Source organism: Homo sapiens, chromosome 7 (assembly GCF_000001405.40).
Source record: "Homo sapiens chromosome 7, GRCh38.p14 Primary Assembly".
Classification (NCBI taxonomy): domain Eukaryota; kingdom Metazoa; phylum Chordata; class Mammalia; order Primates; family Hominidae; genus Homo; species Homo sapiens.
The window spans coordinates 150212716-150230828 of record NC_000007.14 but is presented as its reverse complement, the minus strand read 5'-3'; the positions used below and the strand labels follow the sequence as shown (position 1 = coordinate 150230828).

General features: G+C 40.8%; 1 protein-coding gene across 17 annotated transcripts in view, besides 2 other annotated features; it reads left to right on the top strand.

Annotated features, from left to right (window-relative positions):
- The window catches only part of ACTR3C (actin related protein 3C), a 442186-nt gene that overhangs the window by 92717 nt on the left and 331356 nt on the right, over positions 1 to 18113 (top strand). For 3 of the 17 annotated variants that reach the window (NR_147016.2, NR_147017.2, NM_001351030.2), the window contains exons 1-2: positions 9729 to 9903; positions 10331 to 10584. The exons of 6 other annotated variants lie outside the window; for them this stretch is intronic. Coding sequence is in view for 3 of the 11 variants with exons in the window: in NM_001351030.2 (NP_001337959.1) it covers positions 10525 to 10584 (60 nt within the window). In the remaining 8 variants the exon portion in view is untranslated. Of the gene's footprint in view, positions 1 to 372; positions 607 to 9728; positions 9991 to 10330; positions 16528 to 18113 lie in introns of those variants that run through there. 8 more of the 17 variants (NR_147014.2, NM_001351029.2, NR_147018.2 and 5 more) reach the window with 5 other exon arrangements.
- Positions 9411 to 9945: an enhancer, noted in NCBI's record as "H3K27ac-H3K4me1 hESC enhancer chr7:149917973-149918507 (GRCh37/hg19 assembly coordinates)". NCBI's record gives its function as "activates a minimal SCP1, AML or CMV promoter by ChIP-STARR-seq in naive H9 embryonic stem cells {active_cell/tissue: H9 hESC(naive)}" and the evidence as "EXISTENCE:reporter gene assay evidence [ECO:0000049][PMID:30033119]".
- Positions 9946 to 10480: an enhancer, noted in NCBI's record as "H3K27ac-H3K4me1 hESC enhancer chr7:149917438-149917972 (GRCh37/hg19 assembly coordinates)". NCBI's record gives its function as "activates a minimal SCP1, AML or CMV promoter by ChIP-STARR-seq in naive H9 embryonic stem cells {active_cell/tissue: H9 hESC(naive)}" and the evidence as "EXISTENCE:reporter gene assay evidence [ECO:0000049][PMID:30033119]".

The window sequence follows — 18113 nt, the reverse complement described above, 5'->3', positions numbered from 1 at the left end:
TAGCTACTGATGCTATGGACATAAAAAGAAATATGCAAAAATACTAGAAACAACTCTGCATGCCCACAAATTTGATGGCTGAGATCAGTGGTCCCCAGCATTTTTGACACTAGGGACTGGTTTTGTGGAAGATAATTTTTCCCTGCACAGGAGGGTGGTGCGGTGGGAAGGTTTTGGGATGAAACTCTTCCACCTCAGATCATCATGCATTGGTTAGGTTCTTATAAGGAGCATGCAACCTAGATCCCTTGCATGCAGGCAGTTCACAATAGGGCTTGCGCTCCTATGAGAATTTGATGGGAGGGGGAGCTCAGGCGGTAATGCTCACTCACCCACTACTCACCTCCTGCTGTGTGGCCCTTTTACTAACAGGCCATGGATTGGGACCTGTCCATTGCCCAAGGGTTGAGGACCTCTGGCTTAGATGAAATGCACCAATTCCGTGAAATAGACCAACTTGTACAAGAAGAAATGGATTATCTTGACAGGTGTATTTGTATTAAAGACACTGAACATAACTAATAACCTTCCAAAAAGAAAACAGCAGGCCCAAATGGTTTCATTAGAAATTTTGTTTTTGTTTCTTTTTTTCTTTCTTTTTTTTGAGATGGAGTCTTGCCCTGTGACCCAGACTGGAGTGCAATGGTGCAATCACAGCTCACTGCAAGCTCCGCCTCCCAGGTTCAAATGATTCTCCTGCCTCAGCCTCCCGAGTAGCTGAGATTATAGGCACCCATCATCACTCCTGGCTTATTTTTGTATTTTTAGTAGAGACCGGGTTTTGCCATGTTGGTCAGGCTGGTCTCGAACTCCTGACCTCAAGTGATCCACCCGCCTCAGCCTCCCAAAGTGCTGGGATTATAGGCATCAGCCACCATGCCCGGCCTCATTAGAAAATTCTGCCAAGTATTTTAAAAAGACTGAACCAAATCCTCTATAATATCTTCCAGATAATAAAAACAGAAAGAGCAGCAAGTGGAATTTATTCTAGGAATGTATGACTGGTTTAACATTTAAAAAGTAATCACTCTAAGGCTGGGCATAGTGGCTCACGCCTGTTATCCCAGCACTTTGGGAGCCTGAGGCAGGTGGATTACCTGAGGTTGGAGTTTGAGACCAGCCTGGCCAACATGGTGAAACCCTGTCTCTACTAAAAATACAAAAAAAAAAAAAAAAATTAGCTGTGTGTCGTGGTGCACGCCTGTAGTCCCAGCTACTCAGGAGGCTGAGTCAGGAGAATTGTTTGAACGTGGGAGGCGGAGGTTGCAGTGAGCTGAGATCTCACCACTGCACTCCAGCCTGGGTGACAGAGTGAAACTCAATCTCAAAAATAAAAAAAGATTCACTCTAATACGCTACATCAACAAGTTAGAGAAAACAAAATATATCATCATACCAATAGATGTGGAGAAAGCATTTGATAAAAACCAGCACCCATTAATGATAAAAACTTTCAGAAAATTAGGAATAGAGGGGGACTTCCACAACTTGGTAAAGAACATCTACAAAAACCTACAGCTAACATGACAGCTAATGGCCAGACACTGGATGCTTTCCCTTTAAGACAAAGAGCAAGACAAGTTGCTTCTTCTCACCACTCCTATTCAACATCATACAGGAATTTCTAGCTTGTGCAATAAAACAGGAAAATGAACAAATATATAACAGATTGGAAGGAAGAATAAAAACTGTCTTTTTTTTAAGCAGATAACACGACTGTCTATCAAGAAAGTTCCAAAGATTCTACTTTGAAAAAGTCAACAAAATGGGCATTCTGAAAATAATTTGTAGTATAACAAATTTACAGGATACACAGTCATGTATATATAGTATTATATGAATACATAGTTTGTATTGTTACTATATGTATAATTTGTACCATTACTATATATACAGTAGTATAGCAAAGTTACAGGATACACACTCTCTCTATATATATATACAAATATATATATTTGTATTGTTACTATATATAGTATTATACATAAATTTTGTATTATTATATGTTTGCATAATTTGATTGTTACTATGTATTTTTAAATTTTTTTATAGTTGCTGTAGTAAACTACCATAGGACTAGTGTTTTAAAACAGAATGAATTCATTGTTACAGTTACAGAAGTCAGAAGCCCAAATACAGTCTGCCTGAACCAAAGCCAGGGTCAGCAAGGTTCCTTTCCACTGCTTTTGCCAACTTCTAGAGGCCACCTGTATTCCTTGGTTCATGGCCCCTCTCTTCATCATCAAATAATCAGCATAGCTTTATGACATTGGCAGCTCTGATTTTGCTCTTTTGCCTTCCTCTTATGTAGACCCTTGTAATTACATTGGGTACACCCAGATAACCCCAAATAATCTCCCTATCTCAAGATTCTTAATGTAATTATATTGGGAAAGTCCCTTTTGTCATATAAGATAACATAGCAATGGATTCCAAGGATTAGTATGTGAGTTTCTTTTGAGGGGCTATAATTAACCCTACCACAATATGGAAATGTCTATTGTTTTTCTATGTACCAGAAATAAGACATTAGGATGTGAAATTAATAACATAACACCACTTACGGCATCACCAAAAATAAAATAACTAGGCATACATATGGACAAATGTGAACAGGAACTATGTGCAGAAAACTATAAAACTCAGGTGAAAGAAATCAAAGTAAAGCTCAATATCGAGAATGATAGTCCATGTTCATGAATGGGAACACTCAATAATATTAAGATGTCAATTATCCCAGACTTTGTCTACAGATTTACTGGAATTACAATTCAAATATCTGCAAGTCCTTTTGTAGATATCAACAAACAGAAGCTAAAATATAAGGGAAGGACAAAGACCTTCCTAGAATTGGCCTAGAATAGTCAATACACTACCGAAGAAGAACAAAGTTGAGCCCTTTTATTACCAAATTTCAAGACTCACTATAAAGCTATAATAATCAAGACAGCATATATTTAAAAGAATAGGTAGATAGGTCAATGAAACAGAATTGAGAGCCCAGAAATTAATCTATGCAGAGTCTGCTGATCTTTAACAAAGGAACAAAGGCAAGTCAATGAAAAAAAAAAGTCTTTTCAAAAATGGGGCTGGAATAATTGGACATACATATACCAAAAAAAAAAAACAAAAAAAAAAAACCCAGACACAAACCTTATACCTTTCATGAAAATTAACTGAAAATGTATCAGGGCCCTAATTATAAAATACAAAATGATAAAACTTCTAGAAGTAAACATAAGAGAAAATCTAGGGTTTTGCGATAAAGTTTTTGATAGAACAGCAAAATCATGATCCATGAAAGAAAAAATTCATACGTTGTACAATATTTTAAAATTAAAAACATCTACTCTGTGAAAGATACTTTTAAAAGAATCATGGATGGAGCTGGAGGACATTATGCTAAGTGAAATAAGCCAGGTACCAAAAAACAAATATTGTATAATCTCATTTATATGTGGAATCTAAAAGAAATTGATCTCATAGAAACAGAATGAAAAAAGGTAGTTACTGGGGCTAAAAATGAAGGAGAGAAATGGGAAAGGAGAAGATATGGATCAAAGGGTACCAAGTCTCCCTTAGACTGGAGAAATAAAGTTAAGTGATCTATTGCACTGCATGATGGCCACACCTGATAATAACATGTTGCATATTTCAAAATCACTAAAAGAATAGATTTTTAACATTCTCAACACACACACACAATGTTAAGTTGGTGAGATGATGAATGTGTTAATTAGCTTGATTAAATCTTTCTACAATGTATATATATGTAGGTCAAAACATCACATTTTAACCCATAAATATACACAATGTGCTAATTTAAATAAAAGCAAGGGGAAGAATTGAAAGATAAGCCACAGACCAGAAAATATTTGCAAAATACAAATTTGCTTAATTACTTGTACCCAAAATATATATTTAATAAACAACTCTTAAAACTCAACAATAAGAAAACAACTCCAATATAAAATCAACAAAATATCTGAACAGACATCTCACCAAAGCAGATACACAGATGGTAAATAAACATAAGAAGATTTGCTGAACATCATTGGTGACTAGGGATTTTCAAATTAAAACGGCAATGAGGCGGGGCCTGGTGGTTCACGCCTGTAATCCCAGCACTTTGAGAGGCCAAGGCAGATGGATCACTTGAGGTCAGGAGTTTGAGAACAGCCTGGCCAACATGGTGAAATCCTGTCTCTACTAAAAATACAAAAAATTAGCCAGACGTGGTGGTGCGTGCCTGTAGCCCCAGCTACTCAGGAGGCTAAGGCAGGAGAATCACTTGAACCCAGGAGGCAGAGGTTGCAGTGAGCTGAGATTGTACCACTGCACTCCAGTCTAGGCGACAAGAGCAAAACTCCATCTCAAAACAAACAAACAACAACAACAACAAAAAGCAATGAGGTACTATTACACACTATTTAGAAAGGCAAAAATACAAAAACAAACTGGAGATACCAACGACTGGGGAGGAAGCAGAGCAATAGGAGCAATCACTCATTGTTTATGGGAATGCGAAATGACACTGTCAACTTTGGAAGGCAGTTTAATGGTTTCCTAAAAAGCTAAACATACTCTCACCATATGATCCAGCAATCACTTTCCTAGATATCTACCCAAAGGAGTTGAAACCTTACATCCACACAAAAAATCTACATGCAAAAGTTTACAGAAGGCTGATTCACAACCACTAAAAACTAGAAGTAACCAAGATGTTCTACAATATGTGAATGGATAGGGAAAGTGTGGTGTAGCCATAGAATGAAATACTATTTAGTAATAAAAGGAAATGAGCTATTAAGCCAGAAAAGAGATGGATGAATCTTAAATGCATGTTGTTAACTGAAGGAAGCCCATCTGAAAAGACTGATACTGTATGATTTCCATTATATGACATTCTGAAAATGGCAAAAACAGTGATCATAAAAATCACCATTTTCAGGGGTTGGGGAGTGAATAGGTGAAGCTCAGAACTTTTAGGGTGGTGAAACTATTTTGTATGACACAATGTGGATACATTACACTGAGGATAAAAAGTAAATCTTGATGTATGTAAATTTAAAATCGTATTTAGGAGGTCAGGGAATCCTAGAATGGAATGCAGAATGTGACAAAACCAACTTTATTAAAAATGCATTACACAACCTCACTGAAGAGGGAGGGGAAAAGGTGCTGACATAAGCAACTTTGGAAATGAGTTGAGTCTGTAAGACACAGTCAAAAGAAACTGTACACAGCACTGCCACTGCATTCTAGTTAATAACACTGTTTCCCACTGGCTACAGGTTAAACGTTCTGATACCACTGTACATATAGAGTAGAACTGAACAACGAATTGGATGGTTGGTGGAAGGCAGGAGCCAGATTTACCACTGTTGGAGTGGGCATTTACAGATAAGTAAGGGAAAAGGGCTGGAATGATTCATGTGGCAATGGATTAGAGTTGTAGACATTAGTATGAATTAATATTTGGCTGAATATAGACATACACCATTAAATATAGAAATATTTATAGATATTTGTGTATGACCTGGATTAGTATGTACAAATACATTACCATTCTCTGTCAGCTAGAGGACTCAGAAACAGTATCACAGTAGCAATGAGCACTAGTAATGCCCAGATATTAGTTTCTAATACCATTGTCTAATAAAAATAACCAGGGCTCCTTGGAGAAGTGGCTGATTCTAGTGACAGGAAATGTACAAGGTGAGCCTGAGGCACCTTGTAGTGCCATAAAGGAAATATTCCAATCGCATGCTCGTGCAGGCAAACACACACACACACACACACACACACACACACACACACACACTAATGGGGGTGTGGCCAAAGGTGCACAGAGCCACTGAAGATCACCCAGTGGCCAAAGCTGGCATAATGTGAGCAAAAATAAATAAGAGTAGTATTGAATTATAACCCAAAATATCATACAAATATTCATAAACCCATGCTTTATAGTTAAATAATAAATAAATGAATGGGTGAGAAGAGACAGGTCTCCCGTGGAGCAGAATGTTAAAAATGTATGCAAACGCTCTGCCCTCAAGGAGGTGGAACACAACTCCTCACTCCTTCAGTGTAGGCTGCATGTAGACGCCTCCTTACAAAGAGTTCAGTATGCAAATGAGAAAGGATAATAGTAATTTTACTGTGGAGAAACTTGACAAATACTCCCTCAGGCCAGGAAATCCCAACCTTTGCCTGGCTGGATTTCAGAATTGCTTTAGAGCAGCAACTCCTTTGTCCTCCAGTTCTCTTTTTATGGAACAGGTGTGCCTACATCTGTTATCTAATGTCCATCCCACCATTGTATGTTGAATACATGTGAGAAACTATCTTATCTCTTAACTTTTACATATCTAAACATGGAGGAAAGCTATACACAGGAAGTACACCAGAGGAGCCTCCTTCACACATGAAACTGTTTCTGATGATAGAATTCTAGACTTTGAGCTGATGCTGTAATGGAATGACTTTTGGCAATCTTGAAAGAAAGAGAGTGTATTTCACATGGGGAGAAACACAAATCATTGGAGGCCAGAGGGCTGATTGTGGAAGGCTGCTCCTGACAAGGCTTCCAACAATCCCATCCACCTGGCATTCACATTCTTGCAAAATCTCCTCCACTTGAGTGTGGGATGAACCTAGTGACTTGCATCTAATCAATTGAATAAAGCATAAGTGGTGAACTGTCACTTCCAAGATCAGGTTATACATGATTGTGATTTCCATCTTGCTTGTACTCTCTGGCTCTTCTTGAGTGCTTGCCCTGATGACACTGGCTGGTGACACTCACATGGCAAGAAAATGAAAGTATCCTCTGACCAGTGGCAACAAAGAACTGCAGCCCTCTCTCTAGAGGCCTTTGAGGAACTGAATTCTGCCAAGAGACACACGAGTTAACTTAGAAGCAGATCCTTCCCTAGTAGAGCCTTCTGATGAGACTACAGCCCCAGATGAAAAATTGAGTGCTGTCTAGTGAGATACCCTGAAGCAGAGGACAGAGCTAAGCCATGCCTGGATTCAAGATCCTCAGAAACTCTGAGACAATAGATGTGCTTTGTTTAAAACCTTCATGTTTTCAAATTATGGATGGTCCCCAACTTATTGTACTTTGATTTACAATTTTTTGACTTTATAATGGATTTATCATGCTGTAACTCGTTAGTTCAGGAACATCTGGACTTATGATGGGTTTATCATGTTGTAACTCCATTGTAAGTCAAGTAGCATCTCTATTTGCTATGCAATAATAGATACCTAAGGAGTTTAAAAATTGTACTAACGTCTTGGGAAATGATTTGGCAGTTTCTAAAAACAAACAAACAAACAAACAAAAAAACCCTGCATCTACCTTAGGATCTAATAATTCCACTTCCACATATCAATACATGATAAATGAAAGTGTGAGTTCACAAAGAAAAACCCTGTACATGAACATTTAAAGCAGCTTGATCCATAAATAGTTGAAAACTAGAATTAACACATGTAATCATTTGTAAGAGAATGGATAAATTAATAATGGTACATCCATACAATAGAATATTATTTAACAATAAAAAATGAACTGCTGAGACATGCAAAAACATGATGGACCTCATAAACATTGCATTCAGTGAGGGAGTTCATAATGCATGACTTCATTTATTTGAAATTCTAGAATAAGCAAAGCTAGTCTATGGTGATAAAATCCAAACAGTTGTTGATTATGGGGGTAGTTTATCGGGAATAAACATCCTTTGGGGGGTGATGGCAATGTAACCTGTCTTAACAGGGGTATGGATTATACAAATATACATAACTGTCAAAACTGATCTGTTCATTTTACTATACATTATACCACAATTTTTTTAAAAAAGGAGATGGCATAAAAGAAAGCAAAGGAAAACATAGTGAAACCCCAAATTCACAATGCAGGAAATTTCAGGAAGAAAACTATTCGTGCCATGGAAGAAAAAATTGCTGTTATTTTACTAAATCATAACTGATTACGTCAAAGTCAAACATATTGTCACATAAGTGACATAAAATCAATTAGACATCAACAGCATCTTTCTTATCTTTTTCTGTGCAAAGTGTTCAAGCTTGATTAATGAAATGTCTTTCCTAACGCGAGGGTGAGTCATCAAGCTCGAGATCATGATGAGCTCCTCTCAGGGCCACTGCTCAGCCTGCTCCCTTCAATCCATCTCAAGGGCCCTCTCTTCCACTATAATGGAGCTCACAGTCAAAGTGGGAGAAGGAAAATACACAAGTAATCACAGATAAATGCATGAGTAGTTGTTAGCCAGAAAATTGGAATTGAGCAATAGTGTCTGTAAATTAATGTGAAGTGCTAGCAATTGTTGCAGGCAGTTGGTAGTAACGGCTGATGAACACCTACTACTATGCGAAGCACCTGCTGCACATTAGTATTTCTGAGCCTCAGTTTCCTCACGTGGAAAGGTGCAGCTATAACACCGACCTTACAAATGTAAGAATAAATGAGAGAAATAATTTGCCCAAGGATGTGCACTAGGAGGCGGCAAAGCCAAGATTCCAACCAGCATCTGCATCCACAGCCAAGCTCTGCATTACGCTGATCTCCAAGCTGAGCCTTCATATTCATCTCAGGAGTTGCTTTTGAATGTCTTCAGCAGCCAAAAGCAACCAAACACAATAATTTGTTTTACAAAATGGGGATTATTCCAACTTGGAGTTGGGAACATTAAAGAAATGACCATGAATATCAGCAAATAACGGAAGAACTAAAATAAATCTCCCTTTTACTTTTAAATGGACAATGTAAGGGGATGTACTTTTTTTTTTTTTTTTTTTTGGAGACGGAGTCTCTCTCTGTTGCCCAGGCTGGAGTGCAGTGGTGCCATCTCGGCTCACTGCAAGATCCGCCTCCCGGGTTCACGCCATTCTCTCGCCTCAGCCTCCCGAGTAGCTAGGACTACCGGCACCCGCCACCACGCCTGGCTAATTTTGTTTTTGTATTTTTAGTAGAGACGGGGTTTCACTGTGTTAGCCAGGATGGTCTCAATCTCCTGACCTCGTGATCCGCCCTCCTCGGCCTCCCAAAGTGCTGGGATTACAGGCGTGAGCCACCGTGCCCGGCCAAGGGGATGTACTTCTGTTACCAAGCCAATGCACTTGAGGAAGAAAGTGCAGCTCTGGTCCTCATAAATTAGTCTAACTTCTTCCTTCAATTTATACAAGCTAAAACCAAGATTTTGGGATGGTGAAATAGAAACCAAATTATGTGGTTTGATTCCCATTCAGAATATTCAAACTCAACTATATCTGCCTGGATAAAATTTAACATTTTGTCAAATAATATGGCTGTATCCTAACGTGCCCTTGGTCCCCTGTTCAGACTTGTGATCCTAGAATGTTGCAATGCAGTCTTCATGAAGCAGCTGCTCTTTTTTGACTGATTTTTCCTGGTTCCCTGGGGTCAATTTCTTTTCACCTGTGTCTAAATGTTGACTAATTAGATCATGACTTCACAGGTGCCAAAAGAAAAAGAAGGAAACGAAGAAAAAGAAAGAAAGAAAAAAAAACTCTTGGGAAGCTGCAGAGACTTCTATTGCAGAAAGGAATGGATGTACTCTGTTGCCCTTCCCCAAATACCGCCCTGGTCAAGCCAATTGGGCCGCCAACCAATGGCACCGACCGGGCCTCCGCGCGCAGCGCCTGCTCAACTGACAGAGCGCTCGCATCCCTCCGCTGTAGCTCGTGCAGCCTGGGCTAACGAGCCCGGGTGCCGTCCCAGCTCCTCCTCCGCCCACTCCACTGTCTCTCTTTCGCCTGTGCAGTGGTTCCTGGCAAAACCTCTTATGCCACCTCCCGACCATCCCGGGAAGATTTGGCGGCTGGAGCCCTGCGCAGGAGCTGTAGGCAAGAGTGGGCACCAGTCCCTCCTTAACCCCTGCTGGGTGGGTGGGGTGCCGGAGTCCGCACTGATGACCGCTCCAGCCTGAGCTTTTGAGGGTGAGGGGGGTGTGGAAAGATCCGCCCTGGAGCGGAGCGCGCACCCGTGGGCTCCTTGCAGCGGTGGCTCTGCCCTGGTGGCGGGAGGGCGTGAGTGCGCGCGACTCCCTGGCTTTCGCGGGTTTCCCCACCCCTTGCGCAGGAAAGAGCCTAGTCCTGCGTCCCCCTGGCTCTCCCCACACACACCTCCTTGGAGCTCCTTTTGGGTTTGCTCCCGCTTCTGGTCTTGAGCGTCCTGAACTGTTTCCCGGGGAGGCAGCACTGGGCAGAGCGCCCTCGGAGCCGCTGGCGCCGGCCCGGCTTCCCTCCGGGGTCCCAGCAGCTGCTTCTCCTTCTCCAGCTCTGGGCTGCGGATTTTACCGCCCCTGCACAGAAGCCTGCAGCGTGGAGGCTCCCCTCGCGCTCGCCCAGACTCGGCTGCAGAAGGAGGACCCACCTCGCGTCTCCCCCGAGGCGCGCACCTCTGTCGCCACCCTCCACGCGCCTAGGAAGTTTTGAAGGTAGAGAATCTGGGCCCCTCAACTTCCTCTGGACATGAATCAAACCGCAGGAGTCTCCAATAGCGTCAGGTATCCCCCGGGGAAAGGCCACAAGGTAAGAGACCCGCGACGGAGGGGGCTTGTGCGGGGGCGTGGGGCGCAGATGGAGGCTACAGTTGGCGGGCGAGTGGAGACTCCGGCAGGTTTGTGGAGGGAGTGTGAGCAGCCGCTGGTGCGTCTGCATCCCTTGCAGGGGTCGGTGACTGAGGATGGTTGGCGGATCGCAGGGGTTGAGAGAACGTATGCTGTTTTGTAGACCCGCGGCCAGCAGCAGGGCTCTGCCCGTGCATCCGCTCCCGCCGGCCACCCTGGGGCTGGAGATCCTACCCTGCTTTGCGGCTGGGCTGGCAGGTGCAGCTGTTTCCCATGATTGCGAGGCTTTCGAGAGAAGAGGTCGGCGTTGGGAGGCAGAGCCCCTCCCCCTTTCACAATCAGACCCCCCTGGGCCAGAGCTTGCAGAGGAGCTCTTTCCCGGGAAGCGCGCGCGGGGCTCTCCCGCGGGCGCTGGCGCTGGCTGCTGTCACGGACACGTGCTTCATTAACTTTAATGGAGCGATGCGTGCCTGGAATTATTTCCAGGAAATTAGTGACGTTCAGAGAAAGGGGAGTGGGCGGCGGCCTAAGGAATTCTGGCAGAACCTCACTAGCAGCCCAGAGTGTGAGGGACTTGGGAAATGTTTACTCCCACGCGCAAAAAACCCAGATCGCCAGCGAGGTTCCGGATTTCGCACGGATCCTGTGGGGCCCGGCCACCCTTGGCCATGCTCAATACGCCTCACCTATCTGCCATTCCGCTTAGGTTGTGATGAATTAGCGAGGAAATTCCTTACCCGGGTTACATAGGGAAGCCGCACAGCAATGCATGTAACAATGAACTTTAAAATATTTTCGAATATTTATATATTTTTTTAAACCGAAAAAAGGCGAGCACTGTGGAGCTTAGTCCTTGATATGCAGACTGAATTTATGCTTTACTCTGTCATCTTATTTTCGACACCTATTTTTGTGTGTACACTTTATGTAAGGGCATATATATTTATTAGCTCTTATTGGAAAAATATTCCCATTAAAATCTACTTGTTGGGGTTTGGGGCATGTATTAGCCCACAATATCAACTCCAAACACTATCTACTTGTTCGGAGTTGAAGTGAGTAATGATATTGGATTCACTTGGCAGATAAAGGAATTCTTGTTTTGTTTGAGTTATGTAAGATGAGGATTTAAGGTTGAATGCTTTTATTCAACTGAGTAAGTAATATCAAGCATTTTCTTCTATCAGATCATGATGAAATATTTGAATCAGCAAGTCATTTCTCTGATCTCTGTTCTCACTATGATTTGAGTAGTTATATGTTTCACATTTACATTACTTAATATCTACAGGAAATGTATTTTAATACAGAGTAGTTGATATAAAATTTTTCAATTAAAAATAAAGTTTCACCCATCAGTGATAATATAGTAGAGACATCTGTGGAGTTCAGAAGATCATTCAGGAATTTTCTTTAAGAAATGTCTTTGGCTCCAGTATTAAAGTGGCTTCTTGGAAGAATTGGACTGTAGAGTATTGCCACCAATAAAACTTTCTGGAAAGTGTTGGAACACACACCAACAATTTAAAAGGTACTAGGAAACCTGTTAATCATGAGTTAGGGATCACCTTACATACCTATCAGGTGTCCAACAAATACTTGCTCCAATGAATCATATTAATTCAATAGTCATCAATCATCCATTTAATAAACATGGTAAACCCCTATTAAGTTCCAATAATATGAGAACGGAGAGCCGCAATATGAACTTAGACATTGCCTTCACTGTCCAACATGCAGTTCTAGTCATACCCTATCCTTCGTTCTTTAAAATCTTTGATGGCCTAAAGTGAGATGATGGTGAAATCCATTAGCTAGAAGGAAAAAAAATATTCAGTTCCTTTTCTCAAAGAAGAACACACTTAAGTTGTTGTTTGCCTGCAAAGTTTGCAGCTTTGGAGTTTGTCTTGTAGGTTGCTGTGGTGCGATAACATGAGAGACTGAAATGATTGGAGGTGACGTGTTGGTGAAAGTTCTGTAGTGGATGAGGGATGAGCTGGTAGCAGGAGTCAACAGTCAACACTGGGAAGTGCTGGATGGACCATGTGACATTTAGGTCACAGTATTTTTCCAATAAAATATAAAACTCAACAATGTCAGTTTAGTAGATGTTTTGGAACAGTTGTTTTTCCATCGTATATATAGCATATACGACTTTGGTGGAAGGAAAGGCATCAGCCTCTTAGGAAAATATTCCAGCTGGACTCACTTTTGTTTGGTCTCATTCATTTACTGATTACTGGTGTAGCAATTTACATTTGGCAAATTCTTATCATTTGTTCTTGTGCAGATATTTCTTGAGCAACATTGGTTGTCTCTTTTAGATGGTTATTCACCTTTTAGATGTGTTAGCCTTCTTTTAGATGTGTTATTTATTGCTAGGTTCATTCTTGCCTATTGAAGCCCTAGAATTTGGAAAGAAGAGGTCCTTGTTGCAGCCTCCTTTCTCCTGAGCATGGGGGCACCTGACCACCTGCTAACAGCTGCTGAGGATCACAGGGTAATCCACCACACTGTTGGCCCCAGTAGAGGCAGGAGCCACTGGTCCTGAGAGGAAACCTCCTGAAGTGATAGTCCTCTGGAATTGGCTCCTGGAAACTTGTAAGTGGTATTCATTCTTGAGCAAAGAATACAAACTTAAGTTTTACAGAAGATGTAAACTACCAACATAAGACTGTTCAACTTTAGCTTTGGAAGATGGCACTCACCTTCTGAGCAGAAAGTAAGGACACCCAGTTGAGTAGTTAACTCCAGCCAAAGTAGGGCCTCTCCTTTCAGCCTCAGGTTTGAAGAGAAAGCAAAGGTTTGGATTGAGTTTCTTTGCTTAGAGCTTTTCTGAAAGGGAAATTTCCTTGTATCAGTATGTATTACGTTAGACATCAAGACAAGTATTATCAGTGCTTCAGTCTCTGGAAGCAGCAGACATAGCTGTCCAAAGCTTGGACTTTGGGATCCTAAGGTACCAGTGTCATTTTGGATAAGTTGCTTAACCTCCATGCCTAAGTTTTATAGGACCTTCATGGTAAGAGTTTCATGAGGATTCAATAAACTAATCCATGTGTGGGGCTCGCAGCAGGACCTGCCACACAAGATGAGGCATTACTTTACCTTTGAGCCCCCAAATCAGGGAGGACAAGGCGACTTCACTTTAAAACCCTTTTTATTAAGGGGAGGCATGTGCTTTATAAATATTTGTACCACAGCCTCTTTTTTTTTTTTTTTGAGACCGAGTCTCGCTCTGTTGCCAGGCTAGAGTGCAGTGGCATGATCTTGGCTCACTGCATCCTCCACCTCCCAGGTTCAAGCGATTCTCCTGCCTCAGTCTCCTAAGTAGCTAGGATTACAGGTGCGCACCACCACACCCAGGTAATTTTTGTATTTTTAGTAGAGATGGGGTTTGCCATGTTGGTCAGGCTGGTCTCAAACTCCTGGCCTAAAGCAATCCACCCACCTGGGCCTCCCAAATTGCTGGGATTACAGGCGTGAGCCACCGTGCCCGGCCAACAGCCTCTTTTTACATGGTCGCCTCTCATAGGCACACAGCTCCTCAGGAGCAGGTCCCAGAGGGTATGAGTAGGATGGGATAATTGTTAGAGTATGGGCTTTGCAGTGAGACAAATGGTAACTTGGTAAAGATCACACAAATAGAGCTGGGCATGGCATGGTGGTGTGTGCCTGAGGTCCTATCTACTCAGGAGGCTAGTGTGAGAAGATCATTGAAGTTGGAATCCAGTCTCGGCAACACAGTAAGATGGCATCTCTAACCCTCACCCCCACAACCCCAGAAAAAAATCACACAAGTAGAAAGTAACAAATGCAGGACATAATTTAATTTATTTTTACACATCTGGAAAAGGGGAATATAATGTATGCATTATCTCATATAATTGTTAAGAAAATCCCCATGCAACAGTTTGCATATAGTAAGCATTTATTACATGACAAAGCTTCACATCAAGCATGGATATAGGTCCTGAAAATAATTCTTTGTATTACTTATAATTTGAGACCCCATTTTATCTAAAATTCTTCGCTCTATCTGATGTTGTAATTGTTTATATTTCATATCTGTTTTCTCTTTTCTCTGCTTTCAAGAGTATCTCCTTATCTTTGATTTTCCATGTTTGGTGACTTGTATGTGACTAGCCATGGGTTCTTTTATATTTATCCTGCTAGGAGTTCACTAAGCATCTTGAATCTTTAATTCTTTCACCATATTTGGGGATTTTGTACCATTATTTTCAAAAATATTTTTACATTTTATTCTTTCTTGGGATGACAACTGTGTATATATTACACAATATACAGATTACATATTGTGGCCTACAAATGCATATAGCATTTACACCATTTGATAATTAGGATCAATATAACAGATTCCATGAGCACTTTTTCCAGCTTGTAAGATTCCTTTCCTAGCCATTTTTGCCAACAAGGAATCTAGCTCCACCAGGTCCGAAAAAACTCTCAATTCAGAAACATACTTAAAGAGTAATCGTTTTGTCTGAGGGTAGAGATCAAAAGTCTCTGCTTCCTATTTGTGAAGGTGGATATTTAACATTCTAGTTTTCGTTCTCATTCCACCTTTGTCTCCAAAGCCAAAAGGGATGAGTTATTAGTCCACGAACCTCAACGGATTCTTTGCAATGAAGAGTAGATGCAAAACTTTGGCTCTGTGGATTTCAATCTGAACTCAACTAGCGAAATCCCTTCAGGATCAAGGACTCACTTGGTGCCTCTCTGATGAATGCAGTGATTAATAATCGTAATATCTCCTGTTTACCCATTTGCGCTCCTAGAATGTGGCAAGAAGTCAATCCTTATTCATCATTTGGCACCATTTTCTGGTGAGGAACATCGTATTCTACCAATGAATTAGTAAAATGTTGGTGTTTCTTCTCAAGGTTTTCATGCTGTGAAAAAGCTGATGAAGCGTTTGCATTTTGAAGTTGCTTATGATCCATGAAGAGTGTCAGCCTCTACCCACAGGAGTTTGCTGACTTTTGCCAGCTCTAGGTATTATACTTTGTGGAAATTTAATAGCCTTCTTACCTTCTATTTCTAGTGTTTATTTTACCACAAGGACAGGGATAGCAAAGCTTGTATGTCTGTCATTTTCCTTTTAGGACATTAAAAAAAAGGATTAATCAGCTAAAACAATTTTGATTCAATAGAAATGCATTTTTTTTGTGTGTTTGAAATACTACTCATGAATCCCACCTACATTTTTACTTTGATTTCATCCTTAAAGGATGTATTTTCCTGGATGTAAAATTCTGAGTTGACAGGATTTTTACTTCTTTTTCAGCACTTTAAAGATGGCATTCCACTGAGTTCTAGAATGAGTTTTTTCTACTGAGAAGTGAAGTCATTTGATTCATAGTTCCCTGTATGTACTGTATTATTTTTCTTTGTCTGCATTTAAGATTTTTCTTTGGTTTTCAATATTTCAATACTATGTGCCTAGGCATGATTTTCTTCATATTTATTACCGTAGTGGGTGCAAAGATCACCTTGAATCTTTAAATGCACCATCTTTCGGAATTTGGTGGCCATTATCTTGTCAAACTTTTTTTCGGTCCTATTCTTAATTTGTTGAGATGACAATTATGTATGTTTTATACAGCTTATATTGCTTTACAGGTCTCTGAGGCTCATCATTTTTCCAAGATACTTTTCTCTCTCTTTTTCAGGTTTAATTTCTGTGGTTCCATCTTCACATTTAATGAGTCTCTCCTCTGTGTTCTGCATTCTGTGGTTTGTGTGCGTAGCTCCGGATATTGCATTTTCAAATTCTAAAATGTCCACTTAGTTCTTTCTCCATAATTTCTATTTTCTGCTTGGATTTTTTTTTAATTCATCATGAGTATCTTTGCTGTTTAATAAATGAGGAGTCTTCTTATAATACTCACTTTAAAACTCTTGTATGATAATTCTAACATCTGAGCCTTCTTAGAATTGGTCTGTGTTGACTGTATTTTCTTCTCGAAATTGGACCACAGTTTAAAATGTCCTTGTATGTTGAGTGATTTTGAATTTTATCTTGGGCATCATGCATGTTATGGAAACTCTGCATTCTGTTTTGTTTCTCTGATGATTTGTTTTTCATTTTAATGAACACTTAAGTTGGATGGCAACTCAAATACAAGTTTTGTTCTTTTATCCTCTTGTAGCCCATTCAGCACCTGCATGACTCAGGGGACAACTAGAGATTTGGAGGCTGCCTAGTTTTCTTAATTCTGGAATCCCTTTTCACTTTCCAAGTGAGTCCTCTTCAAGACTTTAAATCTTTGTGAAGCTTTCTTGTTGACCTTCACTCAGTCTCTTTTTTATTTTCTGTCAGTTCTTTCTCTACTCTTCTTTCATTTTCCCAGTGTTACATTTTCCAAAACTCACATTTTGATAAACTATCACTTGTCAAATCTGAAAAATCTGAAGGTTTTCATGCCCTCCCTTTTTTGTCTTCTCATAAGAAGCAAAACCTACTTTAATGCTCTCCCTTTGCCAAAATACCTCCTGTCTCCTTTTCTATTCTTTCCTGCCCCTTTTGGTTTAGATCCATAGAACTTCCCCCTCCTGGGGCATTTCATCCTATTTCCAAACTTTTCCTCAGTCTATCATGCTTAGGAATTGAGCAGCCTCCTCCTCCTCTTCATGGCTTAAAGAATTTCCCTCCTGGATTTTAGCACTGATTCCCTTTCTGTGCTTTCCACTTTCCAAGTGAGTCCTCTTCAAGACTTTATATCTTTATGAAGCTTTGTTATTGACCTTCACTAAGTCTCTTTTTTATTTTCTCTTCTCTTTCTGTAGGAAGCCCTCCCTCTAAATGATTAGATCAGCCACTGACTCACAGGCTACGGGACATGGCAAACTCATGCAAGGCTTACGGCGTTTCACCAGTTGCTGCCATAACAGCAGGTCCTTTTCCTGCCCCTTTTCTTTTCTCACACACTTGGCTTCAGAACCACCATCTATGGACATGAGTATATCACAGAACCAGAGTCCTGCTAAGAAGGGAATTTTTTTTAATAACTCATGGTTGCAGGTACTATTCTCCAGCTTGATTTTGGACTTGAATCAGACCCTCCCACCTACTCTGATCCCTACACCTCCCTGTTCCTGAGCCTGTAGTTCTTTCTGAATTCCCAGGTTCCCTCATCCTGACCATTGGTATCTGTCGTTTTCCACATAGTGTCTAGTTCCTCCTATGCTGGAGAATCTTTCATCCCTAATATAACATATTTAAAATTAGGATCTAACTTTAGAGGTAATTTCATTTAGTCCTCTCATTTCAAAAAACTGAGATCCAACAAAACGCAGTTAATGAGAGAGCCAGGGCTCAAACCCCCACTGCCTGATTCTAGGTTTTGGCACATTCCATTATACGAGGCTGTTTTGTGGTTCATCTTCTCCATCTGAGCACGCAGTGAAGGGCCACGTCTGATAGACACTTGGGCATCATGAAGGTTAGTGAGTCAGCCTGAAGGACAC